The sequence below is a fragment of the Homo sapiens genome, chromosome 9 (assembly GCF_000001405.40).
Source record: "Homo sapiens chromosome 9, GRCh38.p14 Primary Assembly".
Lineage (NCBI taxonomy): Eukaryota > Metazoa > Chordata > Mammalia > Primates > Hominidae > Homo > Homo sapiens.
This window is the reverse complement of record NC_000009.12, coordinates 132271112-132285400: the sequence shown is the minus strand read 5'-3', so window position 1 is coordinate 132285400 and position 14289 is coordinate 132271112. Positions and strand designations below refer to the sequence as shown.

Genomic DNA, 14289 nt, shown 5'->3' with positions numbered 1-14289 from the left:
GGAGAAAATGGTGTAACAACATTTGCATTTTTTTCTTTAACCTAAGAATGAATTCTTACCACCATCTAAGATTTCTAAGAGGTGGTTATAAGTTATCTTTTTTGTTTTAAGTCTGGTAAATATTTAAATTCTTTCTTATAAGGTGCTCTATTTCTGCTTCCCATAAACTGCAAAAAACAATTATGATAATTATCATCAGATAAACAGTTAATGAAAATAGCTTTGGCCAGGCGCGGTGGCTCACGCCTGTACTCCCAGCACTTTGGGAGGCCGAGGCGGGCGGATCACGAGGTCAGGAGATTGAGACCATCCTGGCTAACACAGTGAAACCCCGTCTCTAATAAAATACAAAAAATTAGCTGGGCGTGGTGGTGGGCACCTGTAATCCCACCTACTCGGGAGCCTGAGGCAGGAGAATGGCGTGAACCTGGGAGGCAGAGCTTGCAGTGAGTGGAGATCGCGCCACTGCACTCCAGCCTGGGTGACAGAGCGAGACTCCGTCTCAAAAAAAAAAAACAACAAAAAAAATAGCTTTGTGGGTGTTTTCACTATTAAAAAAAAAAAGTCACCTGTATGAGCTTTAGGATGAGGGTGGCAACTGTGAGCCCTCCAGAGCTCCAACCTGGATAGAAGTAGAGTGATGGTGGGCAGAATTCGGCAAAAGAAAGTACAGCACTTTGATATTTGGTTTTTGTTTTTTGCAATTCTTGGGTTAGAGCATAAACTCCCTGTACTTGTGTTGGATCATAAGACTCCTGTAACATTTTGTAGCTTTTCTCCAGTATTTTTTGGATGTGAAAATATCCTGTAAGATTTAGACTCATTGAAGCTTGGCCGAGCCAGGTGTATACCCTGATTGTCAGAATGCAGCCCTAATCAAACCACACTGGGGTCAGGGAAAGAGGGTAATAGTAACTGATGACGTTAGTAGTATTTTTGCTGAAGTTTCCTCCTGAATGGATTATGATCTTTCTCTATGTGACTAAAATATAGTTGAATTTAATGCATATTTTCATTAGCAGTTTATTTAAACTAAAAGTTATGTGAAAGCTTTTGATTAAACAGATTTTAATCAGATTTTAAACAGAACCCCAGATTAATCTTTCCTGAGTCAAGGATGAAGTCCATCTTCACAGATGTTTTTTGCTGCTCATCACATGTGTTCTGTGGGCCATGAAACTATGCTCAGCAGTTGTACTCACTAGGTGGCTGAGGACAGTGTCTGACAGTGCTTTACTGTGTGAGCCGTGGAGGACCACAGTGCCACCCTCTTCCTAAAGCTCACACGAATGCCTTGAATTCCATGGTTGAATATATCGTATGTGCTGAGATGAATCACCACTACTTCTTAGTAGCAAAAAGCAGCAAACTGAATCTCTGCTGGAAATGCTGATTGACTGAGCAGTGTAGGTGTGACTGTGAGGCGTCACTCACGTCCGGCTCCATCACAGCACACTGCGTTAGAGAGGGAGACCAGACTGTTCCTTACTGTGGAAATAGAGGATTTGTCAGGTTCACAGGCATTTTTGTTAGTACTAGCAAAAGCACTAAAAAAAGACAGGGCAATATTATATACTTAAAAACTAACAGAAAAATGTACATTCAGGCTGAATTCCACCCCTGGTTTTACTCATATAATTCACAACTCAGAATTATTACATCTCTACTTCAGATACCTACCTACATATATCTGACTACAGGAAGGATTGTAATCTACTTTGACCAAATCAAACCCTGGATAAAAATTTTTAATGTGCTTAAATCATATTCTGTGTTTCAGCCGCGAAGCACACATTCTTTCTGCTTTGTGATTATCTTAAATGTTTCTGCTGTTTCCTAGATTTGAGGGTTTCCCCTAACTTTTACTAAATATTTTTCTGTCATAAATCTATTTTAATAAATAGTGAGTGTTTTATAGTAAACATAGGCCTGTCATAGTCAAGGATTGATGTACAGCTGAATATTGATTTAACCTTTGTTCTCTTAGGTTCAAGGACGCCCACAGAAAACACAGAGTATCATCATCTTAGAGTCCCATATCATCTGCTGCACGTTGAGCACAAGTGGTGGTTTACTACTTGAGTCTGCTTTCCGTGGGCAAGGGGGTGTCCCCTTCAGCTGTGTCATTGTTGATGAGGTCAGTGAACGGTCAGCCATACAACTTTGACTACTACTATGAGGAGTAAGTCTTAGATGAATTGTGGCTGCTGAAATGTTGAGGAAATGTGTTTTTTTTTTTTGCATCTGATTTTCACTTGCTATTACCTGTGTATTCCCTTATGTAGAAATATACTCCTTAATGACCCTCCATAGTGAAAGTGGATTTTCCAGTATTGGGGGTTAGTCTTGAGGATGACTGATGGTTTCTAACAAAATCTCTGCTGAGTGACTGTCTCACTCCTGCTTAGAATATCTCTGGTAACCTTTTGAAGTAGTTTTAATATAATTTTGGATAGCTTTGAGCCACAGTATGTTCACCTGATGTCTTTTATTCCTAGTTCACTCTTTGAGCAAACATTTATTGGGTACGTACTGTTTGTCAGAACGTAGAGTCAGAAGACAAAAGAGATGGAGCAGGAGATACCAGAGAATTGAGTGATCAGGAGACCCAAGATCCAGTTTTCACCAGAAGGAAAGGACAAAAAGTGGAAATGATTAAATAGTTGAAGAAAATGTCATTGAATTTAAGAGAAATTTGAGTCTTGTCATCAAAGAGGCATGCTGAGGAACAAGGAAGAAAGATATGGGGAAACACACTCATGGACGCTCCTAATGTGATTTCTGAACCTCAAATACAAAGTTTTGAAAAGGGCCTGGGCATGGTGGTGCACACCTGTAATCCTGGCACTTTGGGAGACTGAGGAGGGTGGATCGCTTGAGCCCAGGAGTTTGAGACCAACCTGGGCAACATGGTGAAACCTTGTCTCTACTAAAAAGACAAAAATGAGCCAGGAGTTGATGGTGTGTGCCTGTCATTCCAGTTATTCGGGAGGCTGAGGTGGGAGGATTGCTTGAGCCCGGGAGGCGGTGAACAACGATCATGTCATTGCCCTCCAGCCTGGGTGACAGAGTGAGACTCTCTCTCTCAAAAAAAAAAAAAATAAGTTAAAAAATAAATAAAAAATTTAAAATAAAGTTTTAAAAGGACTTTAAAGGAGAAAAATTTTTCAGGCTCATGCCCAGCAGGAACAAAAAGCACGCATCTAGGATGTGCATGGCCTTCTGAACTTACGGCTGGTTCCCAAGTGGTAGTGGCCCCGTTGGTGGCTGACTTCAAAAATACAAGTTTGATTTTTTTTTTAGACATGTTTGGAGAGTTTACTTTTTATTTATTTATTGTTTTTTTTGAGACGGAGTCTTGCTTTTTTTTTTTTTTTTTTTAGAGACGGAGTCTGCACTCACCCAGACCGGAGTGCAGTGATGTGATCTCGGCTCACTGCAACCTCTGCCTCCTGGGTTCAAGCAGTTCTCCTGCCTCAGCCTCCCAAGTAGCTGGGATTACAGGCACTTGCCACCACGCCCAGCTAATTTTTTTGGTTGCGCCATGTTGGCCAGGCTGGTCTTGAACTCCGGACCTCAGGTGATCCACCCACCTCGGCCTCCCAAAGTGCTGGCATTACGTGTGTTAGCCACTGCACACAGCCTGGAGGGTTTATTTTGTTGGTTTTGTTTTGTTTTTTTGTTTTCAGGGAAAATTTGTATTTTTGATATTTGGTGCAGGAGAAGTGTGATACTTTTCTGAATGGTTAGAACTTTAATCAGATAAACTATATGGATAAATAGCAAAGATTGTTAAGACTGCCTCTCTCTTCTGTATCTTACCAAGGCTGGACAGTCTTGTGAAATTGAGACTCTTACTCCACTCATCCATCGCTGCAATAAGCTCATCCTAGTAGGAGATCCTAAGCAGCTCCCTCCGACAGTCATCTCTATGGTAAGTTTTTTATGTTCAGATTGCTTTAAAATGGAAGGGGCTTTTTAAAATTTTTGTTTTCAGGAGGGAGAGACATCTTTCTTGGATTGGCCTCTTAATTTGGAGGGAAAAGTAAGCAGTAACTAAGAAAAGAGAAGCACTTAATAAATTTTAAAAAATGCCTAAAAATGTCCATTTGGTCATAGTTGTTCTTCTGTGTATGTGTGGCAGAAGCAGTGTGGCAGGGACTTGGAAGCCTAGATGGATGACGTGCCATGGAAACCAAGCTTTGGGAAAGGCAGTGTGCATGTCTGCCTTTTTTAAGTCTCTTAAGAGCTGAATCTGATTTATTTTAATCATACAAACACCAAAACAATAATAAAAGAAAAACTTCAGAAATAAAGAGAAGAATCCTACCCTCCTCATTTTTGTTTAAATATGTACAAATTGAGGAAAACATGAAGTTAAATTAATTTTGGAGTACATTTCCATTTTTAGAATTTGGTATTCTAGTGTTAATACAAGAACATGTCTGTGCCCTTCACATCATCTGAAAGTGAAGGTACAGGGGAAAAAAAGACTCAATTACAAGCTCTGACTTTGGGAAGAGAAGAACCAGACTGTAGTCTACTCTTCTCTGTTGGTTTTTTTTAATCTCATGAAAGATTCTCCTGGAAATGCACATTAGAATCAGGATCCAGTAGATGTTTTGAAGTAATCTGAAGAGGTTTTGAAATTTAATGAAATGTGTATTTTTTACTAATAACATAGATTATTTATACAGATAATTGAGCAGTGGCTTCATAAATAATCCTAGAGAACAGATCATTTTCAAAGCATTTTTGTTGAAGCTTGGAATGAATGCAGGTGGTTATCGTTAGTGGTTTTTGATTTCGGAATTATTCAGAATGATAGTGCAGTTCTTTGTATGACATTTGAGCGCAGGTACATGATCATGTTAGAGTGTGGCCCAGAAGCACACCCGTCACCCAGTGAAAACCCGTGTGTGTAGGGAAGAACTGCTGCAGGTAACTTTGTTCACGGAGAATAATGAAGAGCAAATTCTGTATCCCATTTCTTTAAATGATGCAGGATTTCATTGAAGGGCCTTGGCATATAGTGAAAAGAGAGATTGTTAATGGGCCTCAACTTTACTGCCTACTTCAATGATTGATAAAAACAACAAAAATTAGAAAAAAAAAATCCATTTGTGCTGTTTAAATTGTTGTACAAATAAAACAGGCTATTTTGAGAAAATAATTACAAAGTTCATTTCCATAAGGTGCCTTTTTTGACCACCTGTTTCTAGTGGTAATTACAGTGAAAGTGAGTATTTTTAACAGATATTGCTAGGCATTTGTGTGTTTATTCGTCTTTTTCAGTATGTATATATTGAGTGCCACCATAATTCAGGCACTGTTTAGGGGCTGGGGTTATGACAGTGAAGAAAACAGACAAAATCCCTGCCCTTATGGTGTTTGTATTCTAGGGGTTAACAGTGAGTCAGTTACTAAAAAGTGGTATATGGTTTGTATACATGTATATGTTTATGTGTATATGTACGTGGGTTTGGTTTTGTTTAAAGGTGGCAAAATCATTCTGTGCAGAATTGGTTTTTTTTTCAATCAGTAAATCAGGGACATCCTCCCATGTCAGAATATATATTAATAAATCTATGTCATTTGTAGAATGGACTAAGGTTTTGTCTGGAGGTAGATGCGTTACCTTACATAACTTCCTTTTCTGTTTCCCCAAAGAAAAGATTAAAAATTAGGTTTTGTGAGCTAACGCAGATAAACTTTTGAGGATTTAGGGAAAATTGGCATGTATCTATTAATAATTATTTTATGCTTTCACAAACCTGTTTAAAATCACACATATAAATAGGTTAAGAAGTAATGCCTTTCTTCCACTCCCATAGTTTGTGAAACAAGTTTATTCAGGCTTTGCACGTCTTCAGTGCCAGTATCTTTCACATCACTCATGAAGATTCCATCATCTTAGTGAAGTTTTCAGCACATTTTTACTTCAGGGTTATTTAAGATAAAGTACTTTTTGAAACTTTTCTTTTTTAATTATACTTTAAGTTCTAGGGTACATGTTCACAACATGCAGGTTTGTTACATATGTATACATGTGCCATGTTGGTGTGCTGCACCCATTAACTCGTCATTTACATTAGGTGTATCTCCTAATGCTATCCCTCCCCCTCCCCTTTTTGAAACTTTCTGTGTTGCTGCCATCGGAAAGTAGATCCCAAGGCACAACTGTGGTAACATCAAGACAGTTTATCCCACTTGTCACTTAGGTCACTGTTTTTCAGATTGCAGAATATAACCCATTATTTGGTTTGTGAAATCCATTTAGCACAGCTTCGGCGTTCCTAATTCAAAAATTTGAAATGCTTCACCATCTGAAACTTCCCAAGTGCTGACTTTATGCTTAAAGTTCACGCTCGAAGGATATGCTCATTGGAGTATTTTGGATTTTTGGATTAGGGATGGTCAACACATAAGTCGAGTCTGTTTCCTTCACTGGAAATTAAGTCCTGTGAGACTTCATCTTATTCACTCTAGTGGTCTTAGCACTTCAAATTATAGATGCTTAGTACATATTAGATGGATGAATGAAGAATTTTGTCTTCAAAAGGCTTGTTTACAGTGGCATTCAATATGTCTGTCTGTGAGGGTGTACCCCCAGAAATAATTGTTAAAATCTGTGTTACATTTCCTTTATTACTGGTTTTTTTGGGTGGCGTCTTGTAGCATCAAAATAGCATCAGTTGTCTTTCACAAGATCATATCTCTTTCATTAGCAGTATATGAGTAGAAAAGACCTCCACATATATTCAAGATTCATGGCATTTTGGCCAGGTGTGGTGGCTCATTCCTGTTATCCCAGCTACTCAGGAGGCCAGAGACATGAGAATCGCTTGAACCTGGGAGGTGAAGGATGCAGTGAGCTGAGATCACGCCACTGCACTCCAGCCTGGGTGACAGAGCGAGACTGTGTCTCCAAAAAAAAAAAAAAAAAAAAAAAAAAAAAAAAAAGATTCATGGCATTTTGAGGCTCAGAGTCAGAAACACCTTTTTTCTCTGAAGCTGTGGTTGGTAATCTTATGCTACCTGAACGTTGCCATATACGTATTAGATCTCAGTAATTGTGTTTATAATAGTGGGAAAGATATAAATGAATTCTTGGAAACTGTTGCTTTATTTTGCCCCTCACAGAAAGCACAGGAGTATGGCTACGACCAGTCAATGATGGCTCGCTTCTGCAGACTGCTGGAAGAGAATGTAGAACACAACATGATCAGCAGGCTGCCCATTCTACAGCTCACTGTTCAGTACAGGATGCATCCAGACATATGCCTCTTCCCTTCTAATTATGTTTATAACAGAAACTTAAAAACAAATAGGTGAGTTCCCCTTATTGTTTGTGACCTTATTTTGTTGTAGTTTAGCTACTTATGAAGAATAGACATTTTACTGTCGTCTTAGGTCTTGTCATAAAAAGCATAAATCATGAAGGGTTAATAATTTTGTCCTGTTATAATAGCCATCATGTTGAATACAGCAAAGCACATAAAAAAGAAAAGGGGAAAAAGTCACCTATATTTATACTACCCAGAAATAATCACTGGTAACATTTTGGTATATCCACTTTCAGCAGTCCTTTTTTTTTTTTTTTTTTTTTTTGAAGACAGGGTCTCATTCTGTCACTCACACAGGATGAGTGCAGTGGCACACAGTCCTGGCTCACTGCAGCTTCGACCTCCCAGGCTCAATCAATCCACCTGCCTCAGCCTCCTGAGTAGCTGGGACTACACTCAGTCACCACCATGCCTGGCTAATTTTTGTATTTTTCTTTTTGTAGAAACGGGGTTTCGCTATGTTGCCCAGGCTGCTTTCGAACTCCTGAGCTCAAGCAATCCACCCGCCTTGGTCTCCCAAAGTGCTGGGATTACAGGCGAGAGTCACCGCACCTGGCCAAGTTTCAGTCCTTTTACTATGCATATCTTTTTTTACTTTTTAAATTTTTGAAGGAAAAATGTGGGACCATACTTAACATAGTATTCTGTGGCTTACTCTATTATGAGTGTCTTTCCAATCATACTTGTTATATTTTAATGATATAGACACCTCTCCCAGCACCAGGAAAGAAATAGAATTTGTTTTGTACCTTTCACTAATACACGTCTAGAAAAGAATATTCCTGCTATCCCCTTACTTGCCCCAGCCCACATCACCACACAGAAAAAATTGTAGTAATACCAAGATATTTTCTTAAATCTTGACTTTATTCTGAATGTTGACTGCTTTTTTTTTTTTACAGACAGACAGAAGCCATTCGATGTTCATCAGATTGGCCATTTCAGCCATACCTTGTGTTTGATGTTGGAGATGGTTCAGAAAGACGGGATAATGAGTATGTTTTCCTCTTGCCTCAGTCCTCTGATAGTCCCAGAATTGTTACATGATTTGCATTCATATTTCTGTTAAATACATTTCCTATACACATCTCTCTGCCTAGTGTCAGGGCACAGTCATGTTCACTTAAGTTGATGCTTCTTTTTTCTGTATAATGGGGATAATATTACCTAATGTCATAAGCAAGTGCTTGAGTAGATACTTGTTGAGCTCACAGCAGTGAGGGAAACAGACGTGCCCATTGCAAGATGGTGGTCTCATGGGAAGACAGGCCTTCAGCAGGTCATCACCTGGGTAAGCAGTTATTCCAGTTGGGTTAAGTACTGTGAAGGCTAAGTATAAATTCAGTTGAATGAAAATGTGAAAGGGAGGAAGGAAGTAGTGACAGAGGTTGGATGGTATTGGGTTGTGAATAAGGGCATGTGTTCAGGTGGTCTGTATATGACAGCAAAGAGGAGTGGTGTTGCTAGAAGCAGCAATGTCAGAGGAGCTGGGGATTCTTGTGAGAGAGTAGGGGAGGAATGGTCTAGGGGCAGCATTTGTTGGCACGGATACAAGTGCCACTCTGTCATGAAGTAGGAGGAAACACAAATCCCACTTCTACATCATGGGATGGCTGCAGAGCAGGTGGCGTCCTCAGGCGAGAATCAGGCGTTAGATAAGATACAGAGGTGGAAGTAGGGAACACTCATTGAAGAGGTTACACATACAGAGGAGTTGTTGGCCATGGGATTGTAGTGCTGGAGGGACTGCAGCCTAAAGGTTTTAATGAGGCCTCTTGGAGGAGAGCAGAGGATTGCGAGTTAAGCCGCAGAGCATCATGAGGATTTCAGGGATGGAAGAGATCGCTAGCTGATTGGGTTGTCCATTTAGTAAGTCTCAAAGTTAGGAGAATGGGTATTTAAGGCTCGTAAAGCAAGGCGGGTAAGGTAGCCTCAGGAATCAAGGGATGGGGCAGTGCATCCCCTGGTCTTGGTGCATTTTGGGTCCGGTATGGTCATGAGGGAGCATGTGTTTTCAGGAGGGGTTGAGAGTGCAGGATATGAGGCTGCTGAGGACTACAAAGAGGACATGAACCTGCTCCAGGGCCCCATGTTGTTCAACTGGGGTCAAGTGGGACACATCCTTCACATTGAGTCTGTGTGGATGGCAGCTGCTCGGTTGTGTGGTGTGTGTTGTATGCAGCCAGTGGTGAGGGACAAGGAAGATCATACATGTAAAGCATTTTCTCAGTGTTCGGAAGATAGTTAATCCTTAATTCATGTTAGCTATCTCTTATTCACATCTTTGTTCTTATTAATACTGCTGTTCTTAATACTGCTCTCCCTGTTTCAACAGATGAAGAAAGTGGTGCCTAAACTTCAGTTGATTTCAAACTCTTTTCTCTCTACAACTTCATTTTTCACTGGGCATTTCACATGTATTCATATTTACCATAGTATTTTCACATTTATTCATATATACCATATTAATGGTCATTGTAACAGCCTCTTGGAGTCACTGCTAGCTGAATAAAAGATGAAGCCTATCTGCCTGCCCTTTACTATAATGGGAAACAAACTCAGTGGAACTTAAGTTAGCAATTAGCCTGCTATTAGTTTTGATAACACTGTGTTTTCTTTTTCCATCTTGTTTAGCTCATATATAAATGTTCAAGAAATAAAACTGGTGATGGAAATAATTAAGCTTATTAAAGACAAAAGAAAGGATGTTAGTTTTCGAAACATTGGCATAATAACTCATTACAAGGCCCAGAAGACGATGATTCAGAAGGATTTGGACAAAGAGTTCGATAGAAAAGGGTGAGGCATTTTTATAAATATTTCCAATTTTCTTGTTGAATTAGAATGAGAGGATATAGAAGGAAAGAAGAAAAGGGAAACTCTTAAGGAGTGGTCTGTGCAAATTGGTGATACGGCACGAGGAAGCTGGGATGCTGCTGGCTTTCATAGACTTGTGCTGTGTGGCTCCTGGGTAGACAGGTTACTTCCTGGCAGTTGGAATGTCAACATTCTCCTTGGCAGTGGAATTGACTAAGAAACTTGCCAGGTCTTTACCTTTTAGTTCCATGACTTGTTCATCTGAATTCTTGTTCTAGCAAGACTAAAAGTAACATTTCACTTTAAATAAATGATTTAACCCTTGTATTGCCTTTATGTATAGAATGAAAATCATGTTTTTGTTTCCTTCTTACCTCAGCAGTAAAATTAAAGATTAAATATTGGAGATCCATAACCTTAAAATCATCTTAACTTAGAAGCACACAGACTACCAAAATCGAATCTAGAAAACAATAGAAAATCAGACCTGTAGGCTGGGTGTGGTGGCTCACACCTGTAATCCCAGCACTTTGGGAGGCTGAGGCGGGCAGATCACCTGAGGTCAGGAGGTTGAGACCAGCCTGGGCAACATGGTGAAACCCCATCTCTACTGAAAAAAAATACAAAAATTAGCCAGGCGTGGTGGCGCGCTCCCGTAGTCCCTGCTACTCGGAAGGCTGAGGTAGGTAAATCGCTTGAACCCAGGAGGCGGAGGCTGCAGTGAGCTGAGATTGCCCCACTGCATCACTCCAGCCTGGGTGACAGAGCGAGACTCCATCTCAAAAAAAAAAAAAAAAGAAAAAATCAGACCTTTATAACAAATAATGAAACATTTCCCAATAATGAAAAGCCCAGAACCAAGCTAAGCTGGTGAATTCTATCAAATATTAAAAGAAGAATGAACACAAGTCATTCTCACATGCTTCCAATAAATAGAACACTCAGATTCATTTTTTGAAGCCAGTATTACACTGATACCAAAGCCAAGGGAAAGTATCACAAGAAAACTACAGATCCAAATCCTTTATGACTAGATACAAAAATCCTCAACAAAATAGTGACAAACTGAATTCAGCAGGTTATTACAAGGATTTATACATCAAGACCAAGTGGGATTTATCCCAGGAATGCAAGATTGCTTCAACATATGAAAATCAATATGATATACCATATTAGAAGAATGAGGAGACCCACATAATCAGCTCAGTAGATACAAAAAAAAGTTGCACGGAACCCAAAATGCTTTGATGATTTAAAAAAAAAAAAAGAATACAAAGGAACTTTTTTTATTAATAAAAGGCATTTACAAAAAACTCATAGCTAACGTTATACTTCATGGTAAGAATGAAAGCCTTTCCTCTAAGATCAGGAGAGATGTTTGAAACTCTTAATGCTTTTTTTCAACATTGTACTAGAGGTTTTAGCCAGAGCAGTTAAGTAAGGAAAATAAATAAAAAGCATCTTTACTGGAAAGAAAAAAGTAAAACTCTCTCTTCATAGGTGGCATGATCTTATTTCTAGAAACCCTAACAAAGCCATTCAAAGGCACTATTAGAGATAATAAGCTTAGCAGGATACAAGATTAATATGTGAAAGTTGATTATATTTTGATGCAACTAGCAATGAACAATCTGAAAAGGAAGTTGAAACAATTCCATTTACAATAGCATCAAAAAGAATAAAACACTTCGGAATAAATAGAACCAAAGAAGTATAAGACTTGTACGCTGAAAACTGCAAAACGTTGTTGAAAGGAATTAAAGAACACCTAAATAGGCCGGGTGCAGTGGCTCATGCCTGTAATCCCAGCACTTTGGGAGGCCCAGGTGGGTGGATCACCTGAGGTCAGGAGTTCAAGACCAGCCTGGCCAACATGGTAAAATCTTGTCTCTACTAATTATACAAAAATCAGTTGGGCATGGTGGCACACGCCTGTAATCCCAACTACTCTGGAGGGTGAGGCAGGAGAATCACTTGAACCCGGGAAGCAGAGGTTGCAGTGAGCTGAGATCACTCCATTGCACTCCAGCCTGGGCGACGAGAGCGAAATTCCATCTCAAAACAAAAAAAAAACCACCTAAATAAATGTGAAGACATCCTGTTTTCATGGACTGGAAGACTTAGTGTTGTGTTGTTTTTTGCATTTTTTGTGTGTTTTTTCATTTTTAGTAGAGACAAGGTCTTCCTAAGTTGCCCAGGCTGTTCTCAAACTCCTGAGTTCACACAGTCTTCCCAAAGTGCTTGGATTACAGACATGAGCTACCATGCCCAGCCAAAGACTTAGTATCAGCGTGACCATTTCTGTAAAAAAGGCAGTTGGATTACATCTGTAGATCAATTTGGGGAGCGCTGCCACCTTAACACTAAGTAAATAACTTGTACTATGTGGTACAATGAAATATTAATGAAGAAAGGGATGAAGTTCTGTTACATGCTACAACATGGATGAACTTTGGAAATGTTATGCTAAGGGAACAGTCACAAATAATCACATTTTGTAATTCCATTTATGTGAAACTCACAGTATAAGAAAATCTGTAGAGACAGGAAGTGTATTAGTGGTTGCCAGGGAATGGAGAGAGGAGGAAATTCAGGCTAACCTCCAAGAAAATGTTTTTAAAATGTCTTAGCAGCCGAGCATGGTGGTGCATGCATCTCCTTGGGAGGCTGAGGCAAGGAGGATTGCTTGAGCCCCAGAAGTTTGAGTCCAGCCTGGGCAACGCAGTGAGACTCTGTCTCTCTCTCTCTCTCTTTTTTTTTTTAAGTTTCTTTAAAAATAAAGACTGTAAGGCCAGGCATGGTGGCTCACATCTATAATCCTAACATTTTGGGTGGGTGAGGTGGAAGGATTGCTTGGGGCCAGGGGTTTGAGACCAGCCTGGGCAACATGGCAAGACCCCATCTCTACAAAACATGGAAAAATTAGGGTGGTGGTCCATGCCTGTAGTCCTAGCCACTTAGGAGGCTGAGACGGAGCTCAGGTGTTCAAGTTACTGTGAGCTATGAATATGCTGGTGCACTCCAGCCTGGACAAGAGTGAGGCTAGACTGTCAAAAACCAAAAAACTAAGCCGGACGCGGTGGCTCACGCCTGTAATCCCAGCACTTTGGGAGGCCGAGGCGGGCGGATCATGAGGTCAGGAGATGGAGACCACAGTGAAACCCAGTCTCTACTAAAAATACAAAAAATTAGCTGGGCATGGTGGCGGGCACCTGTAGTCCCAGCTACTCAGGAGGCTGAGGCAGGAGAATGGCGTGAACCCGGGAGGCAGAGCTTGCAGTGAACTGAGATCGCGCCACTGCACTCCAGCCTGGGCGACAGAGTGAGACTCCGTCTCAAAAAAAAAAAACCAAAAAACTAGTTTATAAATATGTATACTTAATAATTATCTTCCTTTTTCCAGTAAATATGTTTCTCTTTTGTAAATAGACCAGCAGAAGTAGACACTGTGGATGCATTCCAGGGTCGGCAGAAGGATTGTGTTATTGTTACGTGTGTCAGAGCAAATAGCATCCAAGGTTCAATTGGGTGAGTTACTGTCATTGTTGCTCTTTTATACTTGTATACATTGTTGCTTGTTTATAGTTCAGGATTAGGTTCATTATCACTGTTAGAGAACACCATTTGCTTTTTTAATTTTCTTTTGTGAAAACCTGTGTAATACTATGAAAGTTTCTCTTTTAAGTTGTGAAATAGACCCACTGTTAGATCTTGGTGCAATCTTGGCCCACTGCATCCTCCACCTCCTGGGTTCAAGCGATTCTTCTGCATCAGCCTCCCGAGTAGCTGGGACTACAGGCATGTGCTACCACGCCCAGCTAATTTTTGTATTTTTCTGTAGAGACAGTGTTTTGCCAGGTTGCCCAGGCTGGTCTCAAACTCCTGAGCTCAAGTGCTCCACCCACTTTGGCCTCCCAAAATGCTGGGATTACAGGCGTGAGTCACTGCGCCCGGCCTTGGTGTCTTTTATATTAACCCATTTCATAGTGTGAATCTGTTCTTTTATTTAATAAGATTCAAATAAATAATTAGATTATACTTTGCAGAGGCATATTACTCCCCATGGTATGTGTCAAAGTGTCATTGTTTTCTGTGTTTTCCTGCTTTGGCTAAATTTGTTCACCTT

General features: G+C 40.1%; 1 protein-coding gene across 11 annotated transcripts in view; it reads left to right on the top strand.

Moving 5' to 3' along the window:
* Positions 1-14289, top strand: part of SETX (senataxin) — a 95389-nt gene that overhangs the window by 71344 nt on the left and 9756 nt on the right. For 9 of the 11 annotated variants that reach the window (XM_005272172.4, XM_011518404.4, NM_015046.7 and 6 more), the window contains 6 exons: positions 1988-2137; positions 3827-3934; positions 7144-7331; positions 8249-8341; positions 9981-10145; positions 13593-13691. In XM_005272172.4, the coding sequence (XP_005272229.1) occupies positions 1988-2137; positions 3827-3934; positions 7144-7331; positions 8249-8341; positions 9981-10145; positions 13593-13691 (803 nt within the window). Of the gene's footprint in view, positions 1-1987; positions 2183-3826; positions 3935-7143; positions 7332-8248; positions 8342-9980; positions 10146-10542; positions 13221-13592; positions 13692-14289 lie in introns of those variants that run through there. The other 2 variants (XM_011518407.2, XM_011518408.4) reach the window with 2 other exon arrangements.